General features: G+C 38.1%; 1 protein-coding gene across 2 annotated transcripts in view, besides 1 other annotated feature; it reads right to left on the reverse strand.

Moving 5' to 3' along the window:
* The window catches only part of IMPG1 (interphotoreceptor matrix proteoglycan 1), a 151,549-nt gene that overhangs the window by 45,775 nt on the left and 82,182 nt on the right, over window positions 1-23,592 (reverse strand). The window lies entirely within an intron of this gene.
* Window positions 19,915-20,458: an enhancer, noted in NCBI's record as "NANOG hESC enhancer chr6:76696520-76697063 (GRCh37/hg19 assembly coordinates)". NCBI's record gives its function as "activates a minimal SCP1, AML or CMV promoter by ChIP-STARR-seq in primed H9 embryonic stem cells {active_cell/tissue: H9 hESC(primed)}" and the evidence as "EXISTENCE:reporter gene assay evidence [ECO:0000049][PMID:30033119]".

Consider the following 23,592-nt stretch of genomic DNA (forward strand, 5'->3'; position numbering starts at 1 on the left):
CAAACAAGGCCGGGCATGATGGCTCATGCTTGTAATCCCAGCACTTTGTGAGGCCGAGGTGGGCAGATCATCTGAGGTCAGGAGTTCGAGACTAGCCTGGCCAACATGGCGAAAACCCATCTCTACTAAAAATACAAAAAATTAGCGGGGTGTGGTGGTGCATGCCTGTAATCCCAGCTACTTGGGAGGCTGAGGCAAGAGAATCACTTGAACCGGAAGGTGGAGGTTGTAGTGAGCCGAGATTGTGCCATTGCACTCCAGCCTGGGTGACAAGAGCAAGACTTCTTATAAAAAAAAAATGGAATTTAGAGGCCCAAACAATATCAAGAAATGATTCAAAATGGAATTATCCATGGCAAGTTATCCCTTGCTATGGTCTGAATGTTTGTATCTTCCCAAAATGTATATGTTGAAATCCTAACCCCCAAGATTATGATTAAGAGGTTGGGCCTTTGGTGGGTTGGGGGTGAGAAGGGCATGATTAGGATTAGCATTCTTATAAAAGAGACTCCAGAGAGCTAGCTAGTCTCTTCCAACACAGGAGGACAAAGTAAAAAGGTGCCGTCTGTGAGGCGTGGGTCCTCAACAGACACCTCATCAGACACAATGTCAGCTCCTTGATTTTGTACTCCCATGACTTCAGAACTGTGAGAAATAAACTTGTGTATAATCACCCAGTATGAGGTATTTAGTTATACCTCATGAACTAAGCCCAAATGAACGAAGACACCCCTCAAGAAAGAAAAGTCTTGAATCTCAAGGATTAAAACAAAGGAAAGCTAAAGAAAACAAAACAAAACAAAAAACATGTGGGTATCTAGTTAGAAAAAGGAAGCCATACAGAAATTGCCAGAAAAATCATGCTAGTGTCATGTTTATTGCAGCTGATCACATAGCTGAAGACAAGGGAGCAAAGTTGTAAGTGAAAGAAAGAGTGGTTCAAGAATTTGATATTTAGCCACATTGTCCTTCACATTTGGAAGTTACAGGCAATAAGTAGTTGAGCCCTCAGGAGCTATGGAACCCATGAACCCTTTTTGAAACAATTGCCTGCTGGTATATTCCAGCCAACCAAAAGATAAATCAAACAGAACTCAGGAATGGAGACGCTGTGGGATAGAAGGTTTGAGGGTGAGACCTAAATCTATTTAAATATGAAAATCTGTCCAAGAAGCTGTGGGAGTTGTTGTAGAAGCAATTCTAAATTTGTAAACCTTGACAATGGTAAAATACAAACCTAATTACCAAAACTTGGAGTGTGGAGGAGTGAAGATGGGTAGACTACCAGTGTTCTGATAATTTTATCTTTCATAGCATTACATAAAAAATTCTATCTACTGTTAAAATGTGTAGTGTAAATCATAATTACATGAAATTAATATTTTAGGTGGTTTTTCTTAATTGCTAGAGATCTTTTAACAATAAATACCTTATGATATAAGAAAATACTTATCTGCAATTCAGCAATTTCTTTGGTGTTATTTCAGTTCCTTTTTTATTCTGTTAAAGTCAAGTGAAATTAAATTTAGTAAATTTTATTAGAATAGCAATGTAGAAAAATTCTACTTTTGTGAAGATACTTCTATCTATCCTTTTATCTTTTAAAATGCTAAATACCTCTTTCTTTTTAGATTGTAAGATATCTAAAATGATAGATATTATTTTATTATTTCTGAGTAGCAAAATTTTAGCCTTTTTTTTTTACTTTCTCCATCATTTACTATTTTTCACTTTTAGGGAAAATAACACTAACTTAAAAAAGGCTTATTATTTAGCCTCTCAACATATTAAGTTTTCTTCATAGATGTTATTTTTAGATTTTTTGTAAACTTTGACACTCCCAAGTTTATTGCAGCATTATTTATTGCTTTCTTGCTGTCACCCTCTCTTGCTCTTCTGCCTTCCACTATGAGATGATGCAGCCCAAAGGCCCTCAACCAGATGCAGGACCCTCGACCTTGGACTTTCCAGCCTCCAGAACTGCAAGCAATACATTTATTTTCTTTATAAATTACCTAGTCTGTGATATGAAATCAAATCAAGTGTTCATCGATGAATGACTAAAGAAAATGTGGTATATATACATAACAGAATGCTTAAAAAAGAAGAAAATTCTGTTATTTTTGACAACATGAATGAACCTGTTCAGTGAATAAGCCAGGCATAGAAAGACAAATACTGCATGATCTCACTTATATGTGGAATCTACAAAAGTCAAACTCATACAAGTAGATAGTAAACTGGTGATTACCAGGGGCCAGGGGGAGGGGCTGTGGTTTGGAAAGATGTGGGTCAAAGGATATAAAATTTCAGTTAGATAGGAGGAATAAGTTCAAGAGATCACGTGTATAACATGATGACTATAGTTAATAGCAACGTATTGTATTTTAAAAATTGCTAAGAGAGGGGAATTTGAATGCCCTCACCACAAAAAATGGCAAGTATGTGAGATAATTCATACATTATTAGCCCAAATGAGCCTTTCAAAAATTGAAATATGTGTACATATTTCAAAATATCATGTATGTGATATATATAATTTTTATTTGTTAATTAAAAATAGTTCTGTGAGGCTGGACATGGTGGCTCATGCCTGTAATCCTAGCACTTTGAGAGGCTGAGGTGGGAGGATCACTTGAAGTGAGGAGTTTGAGACCAGCCTGGCCAACGTGGTGAAACCCCATCTCTACTAAAAATACAAAATTAGCTGGGTGAATGCCTGTAGTCCCAGCTGCTCAGGAGGTTGAGGCAGGAGAATTGCTGGAACCCATGAGACAGAGGCTGCAGTGAACTAAGATCACGCCACAGTACTCCAGCCTGGGTGACAGAGACTCCATCTCAAAAAACAAACAAACAAACAAACAAACAAACAAACAGCACAAAAGCTTCTTGGTTACTTGGAAAAAATATGAAATTTCAAACGTATCTATATTCTAAGAAAAGGTCTTAGGCAGAACCACTATAGAAGAAAAATATTTTACCACTATCTTTCTATTATTAATAATAACATTAAAAAACATCTGGAGTAAAACTAAAACTGGTAATAAATTTAATTCCTAAGCCCTGGGAAACTTCATTGTGTTTTCTTCCTATTTTAGTTAGATGTTTCTATGAGGTTACAGTCTTAAAATCCACTTTTAGAATCTTGGGAGGCAGAATTGAGGATGGGATAGAAGGATAGGATAATAAACTATTATTTATTTGGCACCTTTATGTTCTAGACACTGTACAAAGGATATTTTAAAAAAATTCTCCATTTGCCCCAAGCCACTTTATAAACTCTCTGCACTTCCTACTTGATGTTAATTTTTGGAGTCCTTGAAGTATTTTTAAATTATGCCTTTTCTAAGTGATTAAAATGCGTAATTAAGAGAGGCAGCCCAAGGCTACAAAGATGGGTGTTGCCTTGAGCAGTGGTCATCATTAAAATGAAATTCAAACTTCTTTTTTTTTTTTAATATGCTGCATTTCCCTTCTTAAAGCACTAAAGGCCATTTTTCCAGTCTAATTTATTACACTTTCCCTCACTAAACAAACGTGCTGAATCTGTGAAATCTTATTAGACTTAAACATTATCTCATATAATATAAAAACTAAAGAGCTCAGTCCCAATCATACCTTGTTACTTTCTGTCTTCATTTTGAAAAACATAATCACTAATTGCTTTCAGTTTATAATCAGCCCTTATATGAGGAAAGTGTGAGTATGCATTTGGAAAAGAGCCCATTCATGTCACTTCCTGGTTTCCTGGTGGCCTTAAAATTCGTAATTGCCTTCTCTGGAGAAGAAAATTTTGGGACAAATGAAGTAATTGTAATATGGATTTGACATGCAATAATGTAATTTTTAATAGTATGATCAAAGTTCAATTCTGGATAGCATCTGAATTATTTATTCCAATACTATTGAAAAGGTTGTGTTTTTCCAGCTCTGATTTGCAAAGCAAAATAATCGACACATTCTTCTATCTATTAATAACTTCATATGTAAACTAGTTCAACCATTGTGGAAGTCAGTGTGGCGATTCCTCAGGGATCTAGAACTAGAAATACCATTTGACCCAGCAATCCCATTACTAGGTACATACCCAAAGGATTATAAATCATGCTGCTATAAAGACACATGCACATGTATGTTTATTGCGGCACTATTCACAATAGCAAAGACTTGGAACCAACCCAAATGTCCAACAATGATAGACTGGATTAAGAAAATGTGGCACATATACACCATGGAATACTATGCAGCCATAAAAAATGATGAGTTCATATCCTTGGTAGGGACATGGATGAAGCTGGAAACCATCATTCTCAGCAAACTATCGCACGGACAAAAAACCAAACACCGCATGTTCTCACTCATAGGTGGGAATTGAACAATGAGAATACATGGACACAGGAAGGGGAACATCACACACCAGGGCCTGTTGTGGGGTCGGGGGAGGGGGGAGGGATCGCACTGGGAGATATACCTAATGCTAGATGACGAGTTAGTGGGTGCAGCGCACCAGCATGGCACATGTATACATACGTAACTAACCTGCACATTGTGCACATGTACCCTAAAACTTAAAGTATAATAATAATAAAAAAAAATCATCTCTACTTTCATAAGAGAAGTGATTTTCTGAAATGACAGTTAACTCTTAGTAGTTCAAAACAAAATTTAACCTCCCCTTAATTTACACATCCATTGCATTCCTAGAAAATTCAGGTTTATATAAATTTTGAGAAATATACTTTACAAATCACATGTAAGTGCAAAAAGGAGTGTCAGGAAAAAATGTGAAAAACTTCAGTGTCTTATCTAGTGCACCTTCCAGGCTAACTGATTCATAGGGACCTCTGCCTTCTATATTGTCTTTGCAACCTCTTAGTGGTAGAATATTTACAGTAGTGCAAATTATTCTTGTTCATAGAAATGCAAAGGATTTTCATCAGGTGGAATGTAATTGATTATTTCCTTGTGGATACTGACCAGCTTTGTATCTACTTGTATATTTATTCCCTCATTTCTTTTTGCTGATTGTGTGTTTGAATTCTCCTTTGAACTGGTTGTAATATCTTACTTGGTTCCTCATTAATTAGTTTATTAAACATGACCTTTGGCACGTATTCATCTTATAATTGCATGACAGCTGTAATTTTACCTTTTAATAAAGTTTTACTTTAACAAGAGTTAGTCTAGGCTTGAAAAGTTGTAGTTTTTATCTTCACATACAAGAATGTCCACTTATATATATAAATCTTGTTGCAAGCAGATGAATTCTTTGTTGTGCAGTACTGTCCTGCATATTATAGAATTACTCTTCCCACTATATATTAGCAGTGTCCACCCATTACTGTAGGAACCAAAAAGTGCCCAGCCCCGTTCCCTCCCAACCAACATGCAAGATACGTACATTCTGTAAAGAAGTATCACTTCTATCAAGAATTGTTCCTGACAATGTTGAACTTTACCTGAGCTTTATCAGAAAATAGCTACCAAGAACACCCACGCCCACCCACCCATAACCCATCCCAACCCTTTTGTTTTCTGAAATCCTCTCTCCCCTTTTTTTTGTTCTGGGAAGGAAGGGCTAATTACAAAGAAGCACCCTTCTTCATATGACTTAATAAGACCTGCTGTCCACTCTTTCTCATGACCTCCGTAAGACTTGTGGGTAACTCCCTTGTTTACCTGCCTCTATAAAATGCAGTCCATTTCTTTGAGACATGCCTAATTAATGAACAGTCTCCCAATTTTAATAGTCTGAATAAAACTGTCCTTCCTTGTCTGATACATTTTGTTTTTTACACTTCTGTTTTATACTCGAACTTTACCAAATTATATCTACATATCCATTCTTCAGTCATTCTTTAAATCAATCAATTTTCAAACATTTATTGAACATCTACTATGTACCAGCATAAAATAGTAATTTAAGTCAATTGCTAGAGTTGCATTTATGGCTATCTTATTGGTATTGAGGCTTAAAGTCAAGGACTGGAACAGTAAACCTGGAGAAGAGAAATTTTTCACTAATCTAATGATCATTTTTTATAGAGAATCAGTGGAATCAGTGTTTAATGGCTTGCTGGAATCCTGCTCTTTTCTTTTTTGAGACAGGGTCTCATTCTTTCACCCAGGCTGGAATGCAGTAGTACAATCATGGCTCAATGCAGCCTCGGCCTCCTGAGCTCGAGCTCGAGTGATCCTTCTGACTCAGTCTCTAGAGTGGCTGGAATTACGGGGACATACTATCATGCCTGGCTAATTTTAAAATTATTTTTGTAAAGACGGGTTCTCACTCTGTTGCCCAGGCTGGTCTCAAACTCCTGGCCTCAAGTGATCCTTCCACTTCGGCCTCCCAAAGTGTCCGGATTACAGGCATGAGCCACTGTGCCTGGCTGCAATCCTACTTTCCCCCCCGCCCAAAACTGATCTTTCTGTATATCCAAGAGTAGAAGGAGAGGAAAATGGCATTGGATTTAGACTATTTGAATGTTTGATTCAATTCTGCTTTTACTTTGCTCATTCATTCATTCATTTAACAAATATTTATTGCCTGTTGACTTTGTGTCAGGAATTTTACTAGATGATAAAAACAGCTCTCATTTTTTGAGTACTTGGTACATGCTAGGCATAATTCTAAGCATTGTACATATTAACCCAATCTTCACAAGAACCCTATGAATAAGTACTATTATCATTTCATAGATGGAAAACTGAGGCACAGAGAAAGGTTAAGTAAATTGCCCAAGGTTATAAGTTGTTGGGCTGGGGTTTGAACACAAATCAGGGCACACAATCAGACTCCAGAATTTACTTCACTACACTACTGAGGCTAGGGTGGTGAACACAACAGACTTAGCCTTTGTCTTCAGGGAACTTTGAGTCTTGGAGCATTATGTTATTTAATTGAAAGCATGCCAAGTGCTGCTAAAGAGGACACATAGGGTACTTTGGGAGGCATAAAAGGGAGACCTAACAACTCTCATTAGCTGATGGATCTGCATTTGTGAAATGAGGCTGATAAGATCTGCCATGTCTGCTTTAGGAATGTGGTGAGGAGCAAAGCCAAATATATTAAAAAAGCAAAAATTATCAAGTGCAGTTATCTGTATTTTGAAGAACCACAAGCTGTGATCATTTGTAGAAATCAAACATGTGAATGTTAGAGATGCAGCCTGGCTTCAAGATAGTCCCTTCAGAGAATGACCTTAAATAATTTTGACTGTGAACTGCAAAGATCAAAGCAACAAGAGCTGTTTTTAAGATAATGCAAACATTTTAGTGCAAATTTGGAAAATTTTTTACTCTATAAAAGGCTTTCATAAGAATATTACAAAAACACTGAAGGTATTTTTAATGAGGACTTTCTTTCTTTCTTTCTCTCTCTTTCTTTCTCTCTCTTCTTTCTTTCTCTTTCTTTTCTTTTCTTTCTTTCCCTCTTTCTTTCCCTTTCTTTCTTTCTTTCTTTCTTTCTTTCTTTCTTTCTTTCTTTCTTTCTTTCTTTCTTTCTTTTCTTTCTTTCCTTCCTTCCTTCCTTCCTTCCTTGCTTCCTTCCTTCCTTCCTTCCTTCTTTCTTCTTTCTTTCTTTCTTTTTCTTTTCTTTTTTTTTTTTTGAGATGAAGTTTCGCCCAGGCTGGAATGCAATGGCGTGATCTTGGCTCACTGCAACCTCTGCCTCCCAGGTTCAAGCGATTCTCCTACCTCAGCCTCCCGAGTAGCTGGGATTACAATCTGCAACCATGCCTGGCTAATTTTTACATTTTTGGTAGAGATGGGGTGCCTGCAACCATGCCTGGCTAATTTTTATATTTTTAGTAGAGATGGGGTTTCACCATGTTGGCCAGGCTGGTCTCAAACTCCTGACCTCTGGTGATCTGCCTGCCTTGGCCTCCTAAAGTGCTGGGACTGCAGGCATGAGCCACCACACCTGGCCGGGATTTTCTTAATTGCAACAAATATTCAACAGTTTAAATGAAAATAAAGGTTGATTTAAAAGTCAAAGATAAATTTTAGAGAACATTCAGAGGCTTGGTTTTTATGCAGTGTTGTTTTTCTATCAGTAAGTGAAAGAAATGCAGTATAAGTAGGCTTTTAGAAGAAGAATGATTTTCTTTTGGGAAAGTAGGAAGTTATAAAATCACAAGTGAATCAGAACTAAAATGGATGTATCTGTTGACTTGGATGTGCCTGTGCCAGGAACATATATGCTCCCTGAAGGCAGAGCCTGGGTCTACATCTTGGTAGCCCCTTACACAGAGTACTTTGCAACATACCCAGTAATGATTTGTGTTTGGTCTGTGAATGAGAAGCTCACAGTGAAGGATCAGTCAGTGGTGCTCAGTCACTGGCATGTGCCAGGCTTCTAGAGCAGGCAGAGAAGATGTGTTATAAAGCAGATATGGGGTCCGGTCATGTCCCAGACATACCTGGAACAAAGTCAGTTCTGATCAGGACATATCTCTGATGTCCTGAAAAAATTAATGTAGTTTAGTTTGTCTCCGGAAAAAATTGTGAAAGATTATGAAATGGGTTTAAAAGATTACTAGGTGTCTTTCCAATGGAATGTTGAGTATCACCTAGCATACCTTTGGCAGTTATCTAATTTTAGACAATTCTGTGCTTTTTGTTGTCTCTCACTGAGCTATTTTACAACTCCACAAACTATAAAAAGCTAATGGTAATGCAAATAATTCAATGCAAGTGAATTTTGTCTAATGGAGATGCCATCGATTTTCCTTCTGTGAAAGAGACAATTTCAACATTACATTTTATTGCTGGGTGGATTTTAACCAGTTTTGCATGAATTTGCAAATTTGTATCACCATTCCTGATTGCTTATATCAGAAGTTGGCAAACTTTTTCTGACAAGGGCCAAACGATAAATATTTTAGGCTGTATAGACCATGTGCTCTCTATTGCAACTACTCAACTATGCTGCTGTAGCTCTGAAGTAGCCATAGGCTATACGTAAGTGAATGGGCATGGCTACATTCCAATAAAAGTTCATTTATGAGCACTGAAATGGAATTAAATATAATTTTCATATGTCAAAAAATATTATAATACTTTTGATTTTTTGGAACCACTGAGAAAAGTAAAAAGCATGCCTAGCTTGCGGGCTGTACAAACGGTAGGTTGGATTTGGTTTTCAGGGCTATATTGTGCTGGTTCCTGGGTTATGTTTGGTCTGTTCTTTGGATTATTTTTGGAACCAATGATAACATCTTATTGGTTTCCTCATTAACTAATGAGGTAAATAAAATCTTCAATATGTGTTCATTTTACATTTAAATGAGGGTCATTATTTTACCCCTTAAAAGTTATTTCTTAACATTTGCCAAAGGTAGTTAATGGAATTCAGTTGAGGTATTTGGAGACCGTGAATCAAAAGGCTGAGAGAGGCTGGGCACGGTGGCTCACACCTGTAATCCCAGCACTTTGGGAGACCAAGGCAGGCCACTTTGAGCTTAGGAGTTTAAGACCAGCCTGAGCAAAATGGTGAAACCACGTCTCTACCAAAAATACAACAATTAGCCAGATGTGGTGGCGCATGCCTGTAATCCCAGCTACTTGGGAGGCTGAGGCAGAAGAATCATTTGAACCCAGAAGCGGAGGTTGCAGTGAGCTGACATTGTGCCACTGCACTCCAGCCTGGGCGACAGAGCGAGACTCTTGTTTCAAAAATGAAAAAACAAAACCAGCAAAAGGCTGAGAGATTCTTTGTCCTGAGTGAATATTAGAATCCTTGGCCAGGTGCGGTGTCTCATGCCTGTAATCCCAGCACTTTGGGAGGCTGAGGCGGGCGGATCACAAGGTCAGGAGATCAAGACCATCCTGGCCAACACGGTGAAACCTCGTCTCTACTAAAAAATACAAAGAACTAGCCGGGCGTGGTGGCAGGCACCTGCAATCCCAGCTACTCAGGAGGCTGAGGCATGAGAATGGCATGAACCCAGAAGGAGGAGCTTGCAGTGAACTGAGATTGTGCCACTGCACTCCAGTCTGGCAGACAGTAAGATTCCGTCTTAAAAAAAAAAAAAAAAGAATCCTGAGGAGTTTCAGAATGTCATCAATTAAAGTAGGACCTCAGGAGAGGGCCTTGAATGGGTGTGTTTGAAAAACCTTCTAGGTGATTCTAATGTGTAGTCATGATTGAATACCGGTAAATTTGAGGAAGTGGTATTTAAAAAAATTTCTTTGTATATTGAAGGACAGCTGTTACTTTAAGATATAAAACATACAATAAATAATAGCTAGGACATCTGTGATAATATCAATAATGTAGTTTTTTAAGTTTAAAGCATGATCGAAAGATCCAATTATATAAATGAGAAGACTATAAATTGCTTTAATTAATCTTTTCTTACAGTCTTTCTAATTGCTAGGAACTTGGCAGATTAAGATTGCTGCTAAAGACTTAAGCCGCCAGGCGCGGTGGCTCACGCCTGTAATCCCAGCACTTTAGGAGGCTGAGGCGGGCAGATCAATTGAGATTGGGAGTTCGCAACCAGCCTGACTGATATGGAGAAACCCCGTTTCTACTAAAAATACAAAATTAGCCGGGCCTGGTGGTGCACACCTGTAATCCCAGCTACTCGGGAGGCTGAGGCAGGAGAATCGCTTGAACCCAGGAGGCAGAAGTTGTGGTGAGCCAAGATTGCACCATTGCACTCCAGCCTGGGCAACAAGAGTGAAACTCTGCCTCAAAAAAAAAAAAAACAAAAAAAAACCCCCAAAAAACAAGCATACATTTTATTTATTTAAACCTCATTTCATTTCATAAAGAACTCGAGGTGGACTAAAGACCTATCAGTGCTAACAACAAACTTTGAAGTGTTATTATTTTCCATTTTCTCAGAGTGGTTTATGGATGGGCAGACTTGGAGAGTCTTTTCTAAGCAGGAACTCTAAATTATCTGAAGTGACTTCATGGTACACTCATTAAATGTGATACCTTAGCTACAAAACACCAAGTAATTTCACTCTTTGAAAAATAATAAAATTTTATACCTTAAAAAGTGCTTCCATATATTTTATCCATTATTATTATTTCTTAGAGATGGGGTCTTGCTTTGTTGCCCAGACTGAAGTGCAGTCAGTGACACAATCATAGCTCACTGCAGTCTCCAACTCCTGTACTCAAGCAGTCCTCCCGCCTTAGCTTTCAGGGTAGCTGGGATTATAGGGGGAGCTATGGTATCCATTATGATCCCCAAAGGTTTTAGTAAATATTATAAATATTTACATTATATACAAATTTATATTTCCCACAATAAACCAAAACTTTTCCCATTATTTGATTCAATGTCAATTACTTAATACTCGAAAACCTTTCTTTGGCTTTTTGTCTTGGTTCTCCCTCTTCTGCTTTGTGTGTTGTATGTTTGGCTCCATTTCACGCTGCACCTTTGCTGCACTAGAGCATCTTTGTACCCAAGATCATGCATTTTTGTGTTTTCTCTATCTTTGCTTTTAATAAGTTCCAGCACACTCTTTTGTTGTTGACGTATTTTGCTATTGTTTTCTTTTCTATATGCTCTTTATTTCATTTGTATCTATTAATGCCCCTCTGAGAAAGGCAAGGTAGGCATTGTTAGCCCATTTGCAGATGAAGCATCTAAAGCTCAGAAAAATGAAAACTCCTACTCAAAACTAACTATGGCAGGTTCAGTACTAAAGTTCAGTTTCCTTAACATACCCCTTTTATTTCCACAAAAGAGCCAAAAGCTGTTGTTTTCCTCTTTGCCAAGGCTTCATTCATTCATTTGGGTATGGATTCTTATATTTGTTAAACAAAAATTATTGAATATCTACTATTTTCCATGTACTTGCAAGTCACTGGGGCAATAACAATAAATAAGATAAATATATTCCCTTCCTCAGGTGATTACAGTAGTTAAAAATACTGCAACAACTCCAATTTATTGAGCACGTTTGGTGTACATTATACCTAAATGTCACAGCCAATTTATAAGGTATTATTATCCCCGGTCTGCAGATAGACAAACTGTGGCATAGAAAGATAAACACTTTTTTGGGGGGTGGGGAGGACAAGGTCTCTGTCTGTTGCCTAGGCTGGAATGCGGTGACATGAACATGACTCACTGAAGCCTCCACCTCCTCGGGCTCAGGTAATTCTCCCACCCCAGCCTCCCAGGTAGGTGTGACTACAGGTGTGTGCCACCATACCTACCTATTTTTTTTTTCTACTTTTTGTACAGACAGGGTTTCACCCTGTTGCCCAGGCTGGTCTCAAACTCCTGGGCTCAAGGAATCTGCCCACTTCAGCCTCCCAAAGTGCTGGGATTACAGGCGTGAGCCACTGCACCCCACCAAGATTAATAAACTCTTAATATAGTATCAGTGATGAGGTCCTCAATAAGGCTGACATTGGAGCAATATACTCATAGTCTCAAAAGACAGTTGGTAGCTTGGCAAGGTGCTACAGCCAATATATGTTGTGTAGAGGTGGATGGAAAAGGGGTGTGGAGAGGGGACATCCAATGAAGTGGCAGTGCTGAACCTTTGTGAATTAATGCCACTTGTTGCACAGGACAATGGCCCTGCTGATCAGGGGCATGTGGATTTCCTAACACATTATATGAAAGAAAGGACAGTCTTCTATTGTCAATAATGGATCTCAAAACCACTGTTATCTCATTTCCCAAGTGGTATAACTGTCTTGAAGTGCTGAGAAAGGCAGGTCTACTAACAATCTCCTTCTCACCCCAGTTTGGTTAGGGAGAGTCCAGAAGCTGATATTTTAGTAAACGCCAAGCAAGGAGTCCAGATATTCATTTTTGCAATGAAAACACAGACTGTAGAAGTTTTGAGTTAAGGAAAATTACATCAGGGATATTTTAATGATAGCAATTCTGCCAATTTAGCAAAAGCATTGTTTATATTCCTCATAAAATTTCACAACAAAAGAGTAACTGTATTTATTAACAATGAACTTTGTCTCAGAAGAGCCACTCACCCTGTTAAACCACAGGCCTTTGTGAGGCTAATGCTGAAATTAATAAGGCAAATGGAGAAATTGAAAGACTGAAGAGTCAAAGTATTTGAAATAAGAAAAAGCAGATTGAAAAAAGGATGAGAAATGAAAATCTGATTCCACACTGTATTGTATTGGGGGATTAGCTACTCGGGTACCACCTGAAGAGTAGGTCTGATCAACTATGCCTAATATGCTTCAAGCAGGATCGTTTCGGACATGATCACACACTTACGGAATGGTGGATATTTAAAAAGATGTGCCACAAAATGTGAAAATTTGAAGGAGAAATTGGATTTATGAATATGAAATAGAGGGCAGTATACATTAGGTATATATAAAAGATAATCCATCCTGATTTACTGTAAATTAAACTTTATGAAACATTTTTCTGAAAAGACTTAAACATGAGGTTTAAAGGTATATCAGGAAAGGAAAATGGCGTGTGCAAACACATGGAAGACAGTAGGATATTAATAATATACAGGTGTGATAGTTAACATTGTCAACTTGACTGGATTGAAGGATGCAAAGCATCGTTCCTGGGTGTATCTGTGAGGGTGTTGCCAAAGGAGATTAACATTTGAGTCAGTGGGCTGGGAAAGGCAGACCCACACTCAATCTGGGTGGGCACCATCCAAAAACTGCCAGCGTGGCTAGGATAAAGCAGGCAGAAGAAGGTGGGAGAAGCTGACTTGCTGAGGCTTCTAGCCTTCATCTGTCTCCTGTGCTGGGTGCTTTCTGCCCTTAAACATCAGACTCCAAGTTCTTCAGCTTTTGGACTCTTGGACTTGGGCTCTCAGGCCTTTGGCCACAGACTGAAGGCTGAACTGTTGGCTTCCCTACTTTTGAGGTTTTGGAACTCGGGCTGTCTTCCTTGCTCCTCAACTTGCAGATGGCCTATTGTGGGACTTCAATTTGCGATCATGTGAGCCAATTCTCCTTAATAAACTCCCTTTCATATATGCATATATCCTATTAGTTCTGTCCCTCTAGAGAACCCTGTGTGTTGGAAATGCAAATTTGTCCTGACTCCAGACCTACTAAGTCAGTAAGACTGAAGGTAAGGCCCAGAAGTCAGTGTTTTAAGAAGCCCTCTGGGGGATTCTGATTCATGGAAGAGTTTGAGAACACTGGTAGAGGAAAGGTTCCACAATTTGTCATGGGGAAATTTAGTGATGAAGCACTGCGATGCAGCCCTGGTCCTGATCTGCCCCTGTGGAGGATATACTACAGCATTTTTCTTCTGCCCTCAAGCCTCTTACATCCTAATGATCCACAGGTGTCTTTTCATTATAGATAGTCTGCTGGTAAAGTCTTAAGTCAAGAAGAACCACACAAACATTCTATGCTTAATACCAAAATCTAGTAAAGTCCATAAAGAGGAAATGCTGCTTTAGAGTTAATTTAATTAAAGGGAAGAAAATTCAACTTTAGTCAGTAGCTTTGAACTCCGATGAGTAAAAAATCCATAATGTGATCACATTGAAGTTCCTTTAGAGGCGTTCTTCCATTTGACATTTAAAATGCATTTTACATCAAGGAGTGTCATTTGGGAAAAATAAATGACTTTTTCTGCTGTATAGCTGAAGAACTTGTTAAAAAGCAAATACATGTGAAAAATCATGTTTGAATTTCCAGGTGTTGTCAGTCTAAGCTAGTCAACATCTTTCTTTGCTTAGATGTTAATGGAATATAAATCCCTCATAAAAAGAGAACTGGTAAGATAGTTTTTAGTGCTTTTGCCAAGTTACAGTCATAGAAGACATTTGTATTTCAGCCACTTCAAATAATCACTTCCTGCGTCAAAGCATTCTGTAAGTTGGTTCTGTAAATACATGTTTTGAAGATGTTGCTACAGCACATCACATTCTATCAGCTAGAGGGAATTGTTGAGTGCAAAGAAGGAAAGAATGCAAGAGACTAATTCTAAATGTCTGTTTTTAAAAGATAGTTTAGAAGCATCAACTTTTTGGGGGACACTTTAGTAGTTCCAGAAGGAGCTATTTCAAACCCAAATTTCTAAGTATTACTCATCCTCAAGTGATTTACAAAAGGTACTTGAGCTGCCTTTAGTGCATTACATGCCTGATTAATTTCAGGCCCTTGGAACAGACAATTCTATTTAAAATATGATATTTCTTCCACTTTTATTTTACAGAAGATTTTGAGAAATTTTCAGGATTAAGGAAAACAAACTGTATTTGAAGAAATCATAGCCTAATCATATATTAACATTAAGCCATTAAAAATTCAGCTTTATAGGATATATTGTAGGATGAAGGTGGTGGTGGGGGAAGAATTTATAGCATTCTGCAAAGCCTGAATGCTGAGGTCATGTGAACGTTAAGAAGAAAATCTGAATAATTCAGGCAACAGACTGTTATTTACCATCTGAATAAAGAAAATGTATTCCACTTTGGGAGGCCAAGGTGGGTGGATCACAAGGTCAGGAGTTCGAGACCAGCCTGGCCAGCATAGTGAAACTCTGTCTCTACTAAAAGTGCAAAAATTAGCCAGGCATGGTGGCACATGTCTGTAATCCCAGCTACTCAGGAGGCTGAGGTAGGAGAATTGCTTGACCCGGGAGGCGGAGGTTGCAGTGAGCTGAGATCGTGCCTGGGTGACAGAGCGAGACTCTATCTTAAAAAAAAAATGTGTATATCTATCTATCTATCTATCTATATATCTATATAGATATATATAGATATATATATGTGTGTGTATATATATATGTGTGTGTATATATATATGTGTGTGTATATATATATTCAAACAACTCTCCTCACCTGCAACAAAGAATGCCCAAATAATGACTATTTTTCTGAGCAAATCACCTCTTTTTACTTTTAATGTAACATTTTAACTATGGTTTGAAGAGAAAATGTTACATTGAGGAGGTTCACATTTTGTAGCTATGATTCTGCATTAACCATAGCACTTTATATAGTTTCTACTGTCACCAAAAGAAAGGGTGAGGAACACCCTCATCTTTAAAATCTAGTGACATAATCATTATCATTAACATCCATTCATCTGCTATCATCCATCCCTCCATCCATTTAGTCAGTCATCCCTTCATCTAGAGAATGTCCCTGGGGCAGAGGAAAACAAGAAAATGGGTAAGAGTTAGTGTAAAAAGATAGAGTGAAATTGCTGCAATTCAAGTGCAGCTAAAATGGATAACTACATCCAGAAGATGTCAGCACTAAATGGGAACTATCTCAAATGATTATGCAGTTTAGTACTTTATTGAAACTGATAGATTTGGGTGCACAAGGAGATATATCCCTGGTGCACCCAAATCTATCAATTTCAATAAAATACTAAGCAATATAATGAATAAGCAATCCTATAGCAACTTTAGAATTAATACAGAGGGAGAGAGCCTTCTCTTTTAATTAAGTGCAGCTAATAAAGGGACAGTTTTGAAGTACAATGACCTGTGTATTTGTGCTATAGTAATCAAAATAGCATGGTACTGGCATAAAAACAGACATACAGACCAGTGGAATAGAATAGAGAGCCCAGAAATAAAATGCACACATTTAAGGCCAATTGATTTTTGACAAGGTTGCCAAGAACACAGAATGGGGAAAGGACAGTCTCTTCAATAAATGGTTTGGGACAACTGGCTATCCATCTGCAGAAGAATGAAATTAGACCCTCATCTCACACCATATACAAAAATCAACTCAAAATGGATTAAAGACTTAAATGTAAAACCTGAAACTCTAAATCTACCAGAAGAACACAAGGGAGAAAATCTCCATGAAAATGGTCTGGGCAATGATTTTTTTGGATACAACTCTAAAAGCACAGGCAGCAAAAGTGAAAATAGACAAACAGGATTACATAAACTAAAAACCTTCAGCACAGCAAAGGAAACAGAGTGAAGATAAACCTAAGAAATGGGAGAAAATATTTTAAACCATATATCTGAAAGGCAATTAATATTTAAAATATATAAGAAACTGAAAAAACTCAATGGCAAAAAAGCAAATAACCTGACTAAAAAATGGCAAAGCACACAAACAGATATTGCTCAAAAGAAGACACCCAAATGGCCAACAGGTATATGAAGAACTGCTCAACGTCATTAATCAGCAGGGAAATGCAAATTAAAACCACAACGAGATATTACCTCATACCTCTTAGAATGGCTATTATCAAAAAGACAAAGGGTAAAAAGTGCTGGTGAGATGCGGAGAAAGGGGAACATTTGCACATTGTTCTTAGGAATGTAAATTAGTGTAACCATTAAGTAAAGCAGTACAGAAGTTCCACAAAAAATTAAAAATAGAACTACTATGTTATTCAGCAATCCCACTAGTGGGTATATATACAAAGCAAATACAATCAATATGTTGAAAAGATATTTGCACTCCCATGTTCTTTGTAGCATTATTAATAAAAGCCAAGATATGGAATCAAGCTAAGTGTCCATTAAAACAAATGAATGGATAAACAAAATTGTCCACACAATGAAAAGCTATTCAGTCTTAAAAAAGAAGAAAATGCTACCATTTGTAACAACATGGATGAACTTGAAGGACATTATGTTAAGGGAAATAAGCCGGGCACAGAAAGACAAATACCATATGATCTGACTTACACTGTATGAGGAATTTTTAAAAAGTTGAATTCTTACAAGTAGAGAGTGTTCTTACTGCAAATAAATGATAAGTATGCAAAATAATGCATATGTTAATTAGCTTGATTTTGGTATTACAGAATGTGTACATATTTCAAAATATCATTTTTGATATAGTTTGGATATTTATCCCCTCCAAATCTTATGTTGAAATGTGAATCCCCAGTGTTGGAGTTGGGGTCTGGAGAAGGTGTTTGGATCATGGGGACAGATCCTTCACGAATGGCTTAGTGCCATCCCCTTGGCTAGGATTGAGTTCTTGCTCTGGTAGTTCATGTGAGATCTAGTTGTTTAAAAGAGCATGGCAACTTCCCCTACCCTTGCTCCCACTCTTGCCATGTGACATGCTTGCTCCCACCTCATCTTCCACCATGATTACAAGCTTCCCTAGACCCTCACCAGAAGCCAAGCCAATGTTGGTGCCATGTTTGTACAGCCTGCAGAACGGCAAGCCAATTTAATCTCTTTTCTTTATAAATAACCCAGCTTCAGGTATTTCTTTATAGTAATGCAAGAACAGCCTAACACAATGTTGCACACAATAAATATATACAATTTTTGTCATTTAAATATAAACAAATAAAGATAAATTTCTTTTTTTGTAAACAATAGTTTGAGCCATTTGAAATTCCTGATATTTGTGATTTTGGTCTGGAATATGGCAACCTAATGTCTGAAGTGGTTTTGTTTTTCTGGTTAGATTCTGAATGATATGGATCAACTAAGGAAGGGAACCTTCCCACCAAAAAGGGACTTTAAAATGCTGCCCCTGGCAGAGAGGATGCAGTAGGCAGAGAACAAGGGTGTCCCAGACACCACATTTGTATGGTTAAAGAGGCAGAGAAAGGCAGAACTGTCTGGCTAGGGAATACACACAGGTAGCCAGCATTTTCCAGGTGGGACCAGATCAGAGATCATAACTTTAAACAGATTGGCTGAGTCATTAGAGAAGAAAAAAAATAGAAGCCAATTGCAGAATTCTGCTAAAAAGTATTTATATTTCAATCAATACATGAAAAAAATTAATAAATTTCTCATCTAAGAGAATGCTTTAGTGACTTAAAACAAATCCTTTTGTCATCCTCATAAATACTCTGTATCTATTGCTTATGTTGTTTTATGGACTATTTCAATCCTACTATTCCATTATCTGGCTCCAGGCTGGACAAAGCTTGGAGAGCAGTTCCTTTATAGGACCTGGTTTTAGTGAGACTTCCTTCGGTTTGTGCTGAGCCATACTGAATTCTGAGGCAAAAGGGAAACTGTGCACCTCTATATGCACTTATCAAAATATTCTCTCATATTTTGAACCAAAAAGAAAAAGTTAATAAAAGTGCTAATGCATTAATAAAAGAAAACATAACAATATATGAAGTCTCACATTGCCTGATCTGTTGGTGCCCATGTCAACCCTTATAAACCCACCTGAAGAGGGATGAAAGAGCCTCACAGGCCAGGAACCATGGGCAGATTGGAAATGACTGCTCCTGTCACAAAATAGTGCAATAAAACAAACAACAGCCTATCCTTATTTACAATTTTGACATGTGTTCATCATGGTAAATGATGAACCATGTACCATGGGTTTTTTTTGGTACTTTGGTACTTTAATTTTTAAAAATATTACATTTACATATTATCTTGAGTCCTGAGGTTTTGGCTCCTTTTAAATTTTGCACCTGACACTAGTGCCTTACTTGCTTCACTCTAATCCCAGCCCTACTTGGGTGGTGCACGTTACACACAAGGTGTGTTGAGATTAGGTGAAGAGGAAGAAGAAAGAGAGTCAGGCAAGTCTGCATAGGAATTCATGAAAAAGTATTCTAAGAATTGAAAAAAAAATCCCACTATGGACTGAAGGTCTTAATAACTATTATAATAAAGATTGAGGGGAGAAAAACAGATACATCAAATCATGGGCAAATTGGTTTTGAATTGATGGAGGACACTGAAGGCTCAGATCTAGAAGGGGATCTGCAGAAAGATACTTTATTGCTGAGCATGAATTTGTGAGAAAAATTTGAAATTGGGAAAATGGCCGTATAGGAGAATGATGCTGGTAATATAACTTGTCCTTATCAAGCAAAGTGGTTATCAATAATGAAGGCTGAAATATATCATTACTGGAATATTACCATAAACTGCATAAAGTGTCAAATTGGATCTCTTGCCCAGCCTGCATAGGAGAAAGCAGAATATGTTAACAATGAGGAAAAAAAAAATGAGACTCCCTAGGGGAGAAATGAAATGAGAAATACATTAGTTTGTATGTGAAGGCTGCAAACTTAAAAGCAAAAAGAAAACAAATAAAACAGGCAGTCAAACCAACAAAATCTCAGATGATTCTAATGAAACAGGAGAATTTTGTACCTTTCATATATAATGAAACAATATATCAAATTGCACCATAAATGAGACTTTTAACTTATAATTACATCTCAGGAAACTTTTCTCACAATCAGTTTTTTCTTTTGTTTTTAGCCTAGAATGAAGGGCACTCACAGTTGAGTCATGCCAAGCAGCAGGTTCCATTTTCCATATTGAATAGGGCAGTTAAGGCCTAGGTATTGCAGTACTAGTTTCCTGTGTTTCCTTGGCGAGGCCTAAATTCCTCTTTGCCTAAGAAAGAAAAAACCTCACTGGGAGGGGTGTTCAGTGAAAAGATTGACCTGAGCTGAAATTCAGCCAAGGCCTCCTACGACTTTTTATCCTCTGTCATTGCCCAGGAAGATGGGAAGGATCGTTGAACTTCAGTCTGACACACAGTCTTTTTTTTTTTTTTTAATTATACTTTAAGTTCTAGGGTACATGTGCACAACGCGCAGGTTTGTTACATATGTATATATGTGCCATGGTGGTGTGCTGCACCCCTTAACTCGTCATTTACATTAGGTATATCTACTAATGCTGTCCCTCCCCCTCCCCCCTGCCCCCACCCCACCACAGGCTCCGGTGTGTGATGTTCCCCACCCTGTGTCTAGGTGTTCTCATTGTTCAATTCCCACCGATGAGTGAGAACATGCGGTGTTTGGTTTTCTGTCCTTGGCGATAGTTTGCTCAGAATGATGGTTTCTAGCTTTATCCATGTCCCTACAAAGGACATGAACTCATCACTTTTTTTTTTTTTTTGAGACAGGGTCTCACTCTGTTACCCAGGCTGGAGTGCAGTGGTGCGATCTCCGCTCACTGCAAACTCCGCCTCCCGGGTTCACGCCATTCTCCTGCCTCAGCCTCCCGAGTAGCCGGGACTGCAGGCGCCCACCACAAGGCCCGACTAATTTTTTTTTGTAATTTTACTAGAGAAAGGGTTTCACCATATTAGCCAGGATGGTTTCGATCTCCTGACCTCGTGATCCACCCACCTCGGCCTCCCAAAGTGCTGGGATTACAGGCGTGAGCCACCGCACCTGGCCAAACTCATCCTTTTTTATGGCTGCATAGTATTCCATGGTGTATACGTGCCACATTTTCTTAATCCAGTCTATCATTGATGGACATTTGGATTGGTTGCAAGTCTTTGCTATTGTGAATAGTGCCACGATAAACATATGTGTGCATGTGTCTTTATAGCAGCATGATTTATAATCCTTTGGGTATATACCTACTAATGGGATGGCTGGGTCAAATGGTATTTCTAGTTCTAGATCCTTGAGGAATCACCACACTGTCTTCCACAATGGTTGAACTAGTTTATAGTCCCACCAACAGTGTAAAAGCATTCCTATTTCTCCACATCCTCTCCAGCACCTGTTGTTTTCTGACTTCTTAATGATCGCCATTCTAACTGGTGTGAGATGATATCTCATTGTTGCTTTGATTTGCATTTCTCTGATGGCCAGTGATGATGAGCATTTTTTCATGTGTCTGTTGGCTGCATAAATGTCTTCTCCTGAGAAGTGTCTGTTCATATCGTTTGCCTACTTTTTGATGGGGTTGTTTGATTTTTTCTTGTAAATTTGTTTAAGTTTTTTGTAGATTCTAGATATTAGCCCTTTGGTGTTCTCACTCTTATTTCTATGGGATACCACTGAAAATATTCAGCCCCTTGGAGCAATGTGGAAATCATGAGTGAAACTTATAAGAAAGATAGCAGATTACAGGTACACAGCACAATAGCAGTCTGGCTTTGTCCAACTTAAAAGATGAACCTGCTTCCTTTAACTAGTTCTGCTTGCCTCCTTTCCCTGAACTAGCAGGTCCTCTTTCCCACCTCAGGTTCTTCATGAAACATTACTCTTTTAAATCGCTTCTCCCAGGGAAATGCCCAAGTTGCAGTTCCAGTTTCCTTTCCAGGAAGCCACTGTGTCCCCAGCATTGATGTTTGTGTCTTTTATGGATGTCTTGCTCAGTACCCCTCACTACTGGTCTACCTCCAAGGTCTTAAGCCTTGTTCAACCCTCTTCTGTTGCCCTTCACATCCAATGATTGAAATAAATGTTTCCCACCATTAAAAGGCCCTTTTAGCGATTTCAGTTTTGTTCTATCTCACTTTTCCTTCCTCTGGTCTTCTTCCTCCTTACCACTGCCAGTTCTCTCAGCTGTAACATTTCTGGCATTTTGTTTTTCCTTTTTAGAAACAAGGTCTCACACTGTTGCCCAGGCTGGAGTGCAATGGCATGATCATAGCTCACTGCATTCTCCAACTCCTGGGCTCAAGCGATCCTCCTGCCTCAGCCCCCCGAGTAGTAATTACAGGCATGTGCCACTGTGCCTGGCTAATTTTTGTTTCTCGAATACTGTACAGCATCATGTACAACTAAATCTATTTAAATTTAACACACATAAGATGCTTAAAACAAAAAGGGAGGCACATAATTTGCTTCCCTTGAGATACTCTGGCTTTCCAAGTTGAAGAAATTTACTGAAAGATCATTCAAGAATGTCCCAGATATAAAGTCTGACAAAATTATTGCAAACTCTCATGAAAAGCCCTTAAATCAATGGCAAACTTGCTATCCCATAGAATGAAGATTGGTTTGAGGATCTAAAGAGTATATTTTCTTAAACTCTAAGCATATGCACATCTTGGCCGGGTATGGTGGCTCACACCTGTAATCCCAGCCCTTTGGGAGACTGAGGTGGGCAGATCACTTGAGGCCAGGAGTTTGAGACCAGCCTGGCCAACATGGTGAAACCCTGTCTCTGCTAAAAATACAAAAATGAGCTGGGTGTGGTGGCGTGTGCCTGTAATCCCAGCTACTAAGGAGGCTCAGGCAGGAGAATCTCTTGAACCCATGAGGTGGAGGCTGCAGTGAGCTGAGATCGCTCCACTGTACTCCAGCCTGGGTGCCATAGCGAGACTTGGTCTCAATAATAAAATAAAATAAAATAATTATATGTAGATCTTGTATTCTTAGCACACACCCAAAACAGGTAACTATGTGAAGAGATAGAATGTTAATTAGCTTGACTGTAGTAATAAGTTTACTATATATATGTATATTAATGCATTATGTTGTTACCTTAAATATATACGATTTATGAAATAAACCAAAAACCAATAAACATATGGTCATTCAAAGCAAATAAACAAACTTACAAAAACAAATAGATGTATTCATTTACTTCTCTGAAAGTGCTTTCATTTGTTTCATCCCTATCAATGAAGTATGGCGAGTTTTGGAAATGCTGACTTTAGATGATATTTAGTAAGCATATTATTACAATTCTGTGGATTAGCACTTGTTCCAGCATTTCAAATTGCATAAAGCTCCTGCTAAAACACATTATTTGGCAAGGATTTTACTTAACCTGACAATACAGAGAACGGGCCAACTAGCAATGAAGAGTTATTTTTCTATCTCATTCATTGCCGTGGAAGAAAAATAGAAGAAGAAGCTGAAAATCCTCTTATCTTTTGGTTTACTCAATAGTCAAAATGTTAAATTCCCTCTGAGATTGATGGGACCTATTTAAAGATGAAACTCTCATTTTCCCAGGCCAGGCA

This window comes from Homo sapiens, chromosome 6, assembly GCF_000001405.40.
Source record: "Homo sapiens chromosome 6, GRCh38.p14 Primary Assembly".
NCBI classification, from domain to species: Eukaryota; Metazoa; Chordata; class Mammalia; order Primates; family Hominidae; genus Homo; species Homo sapiens.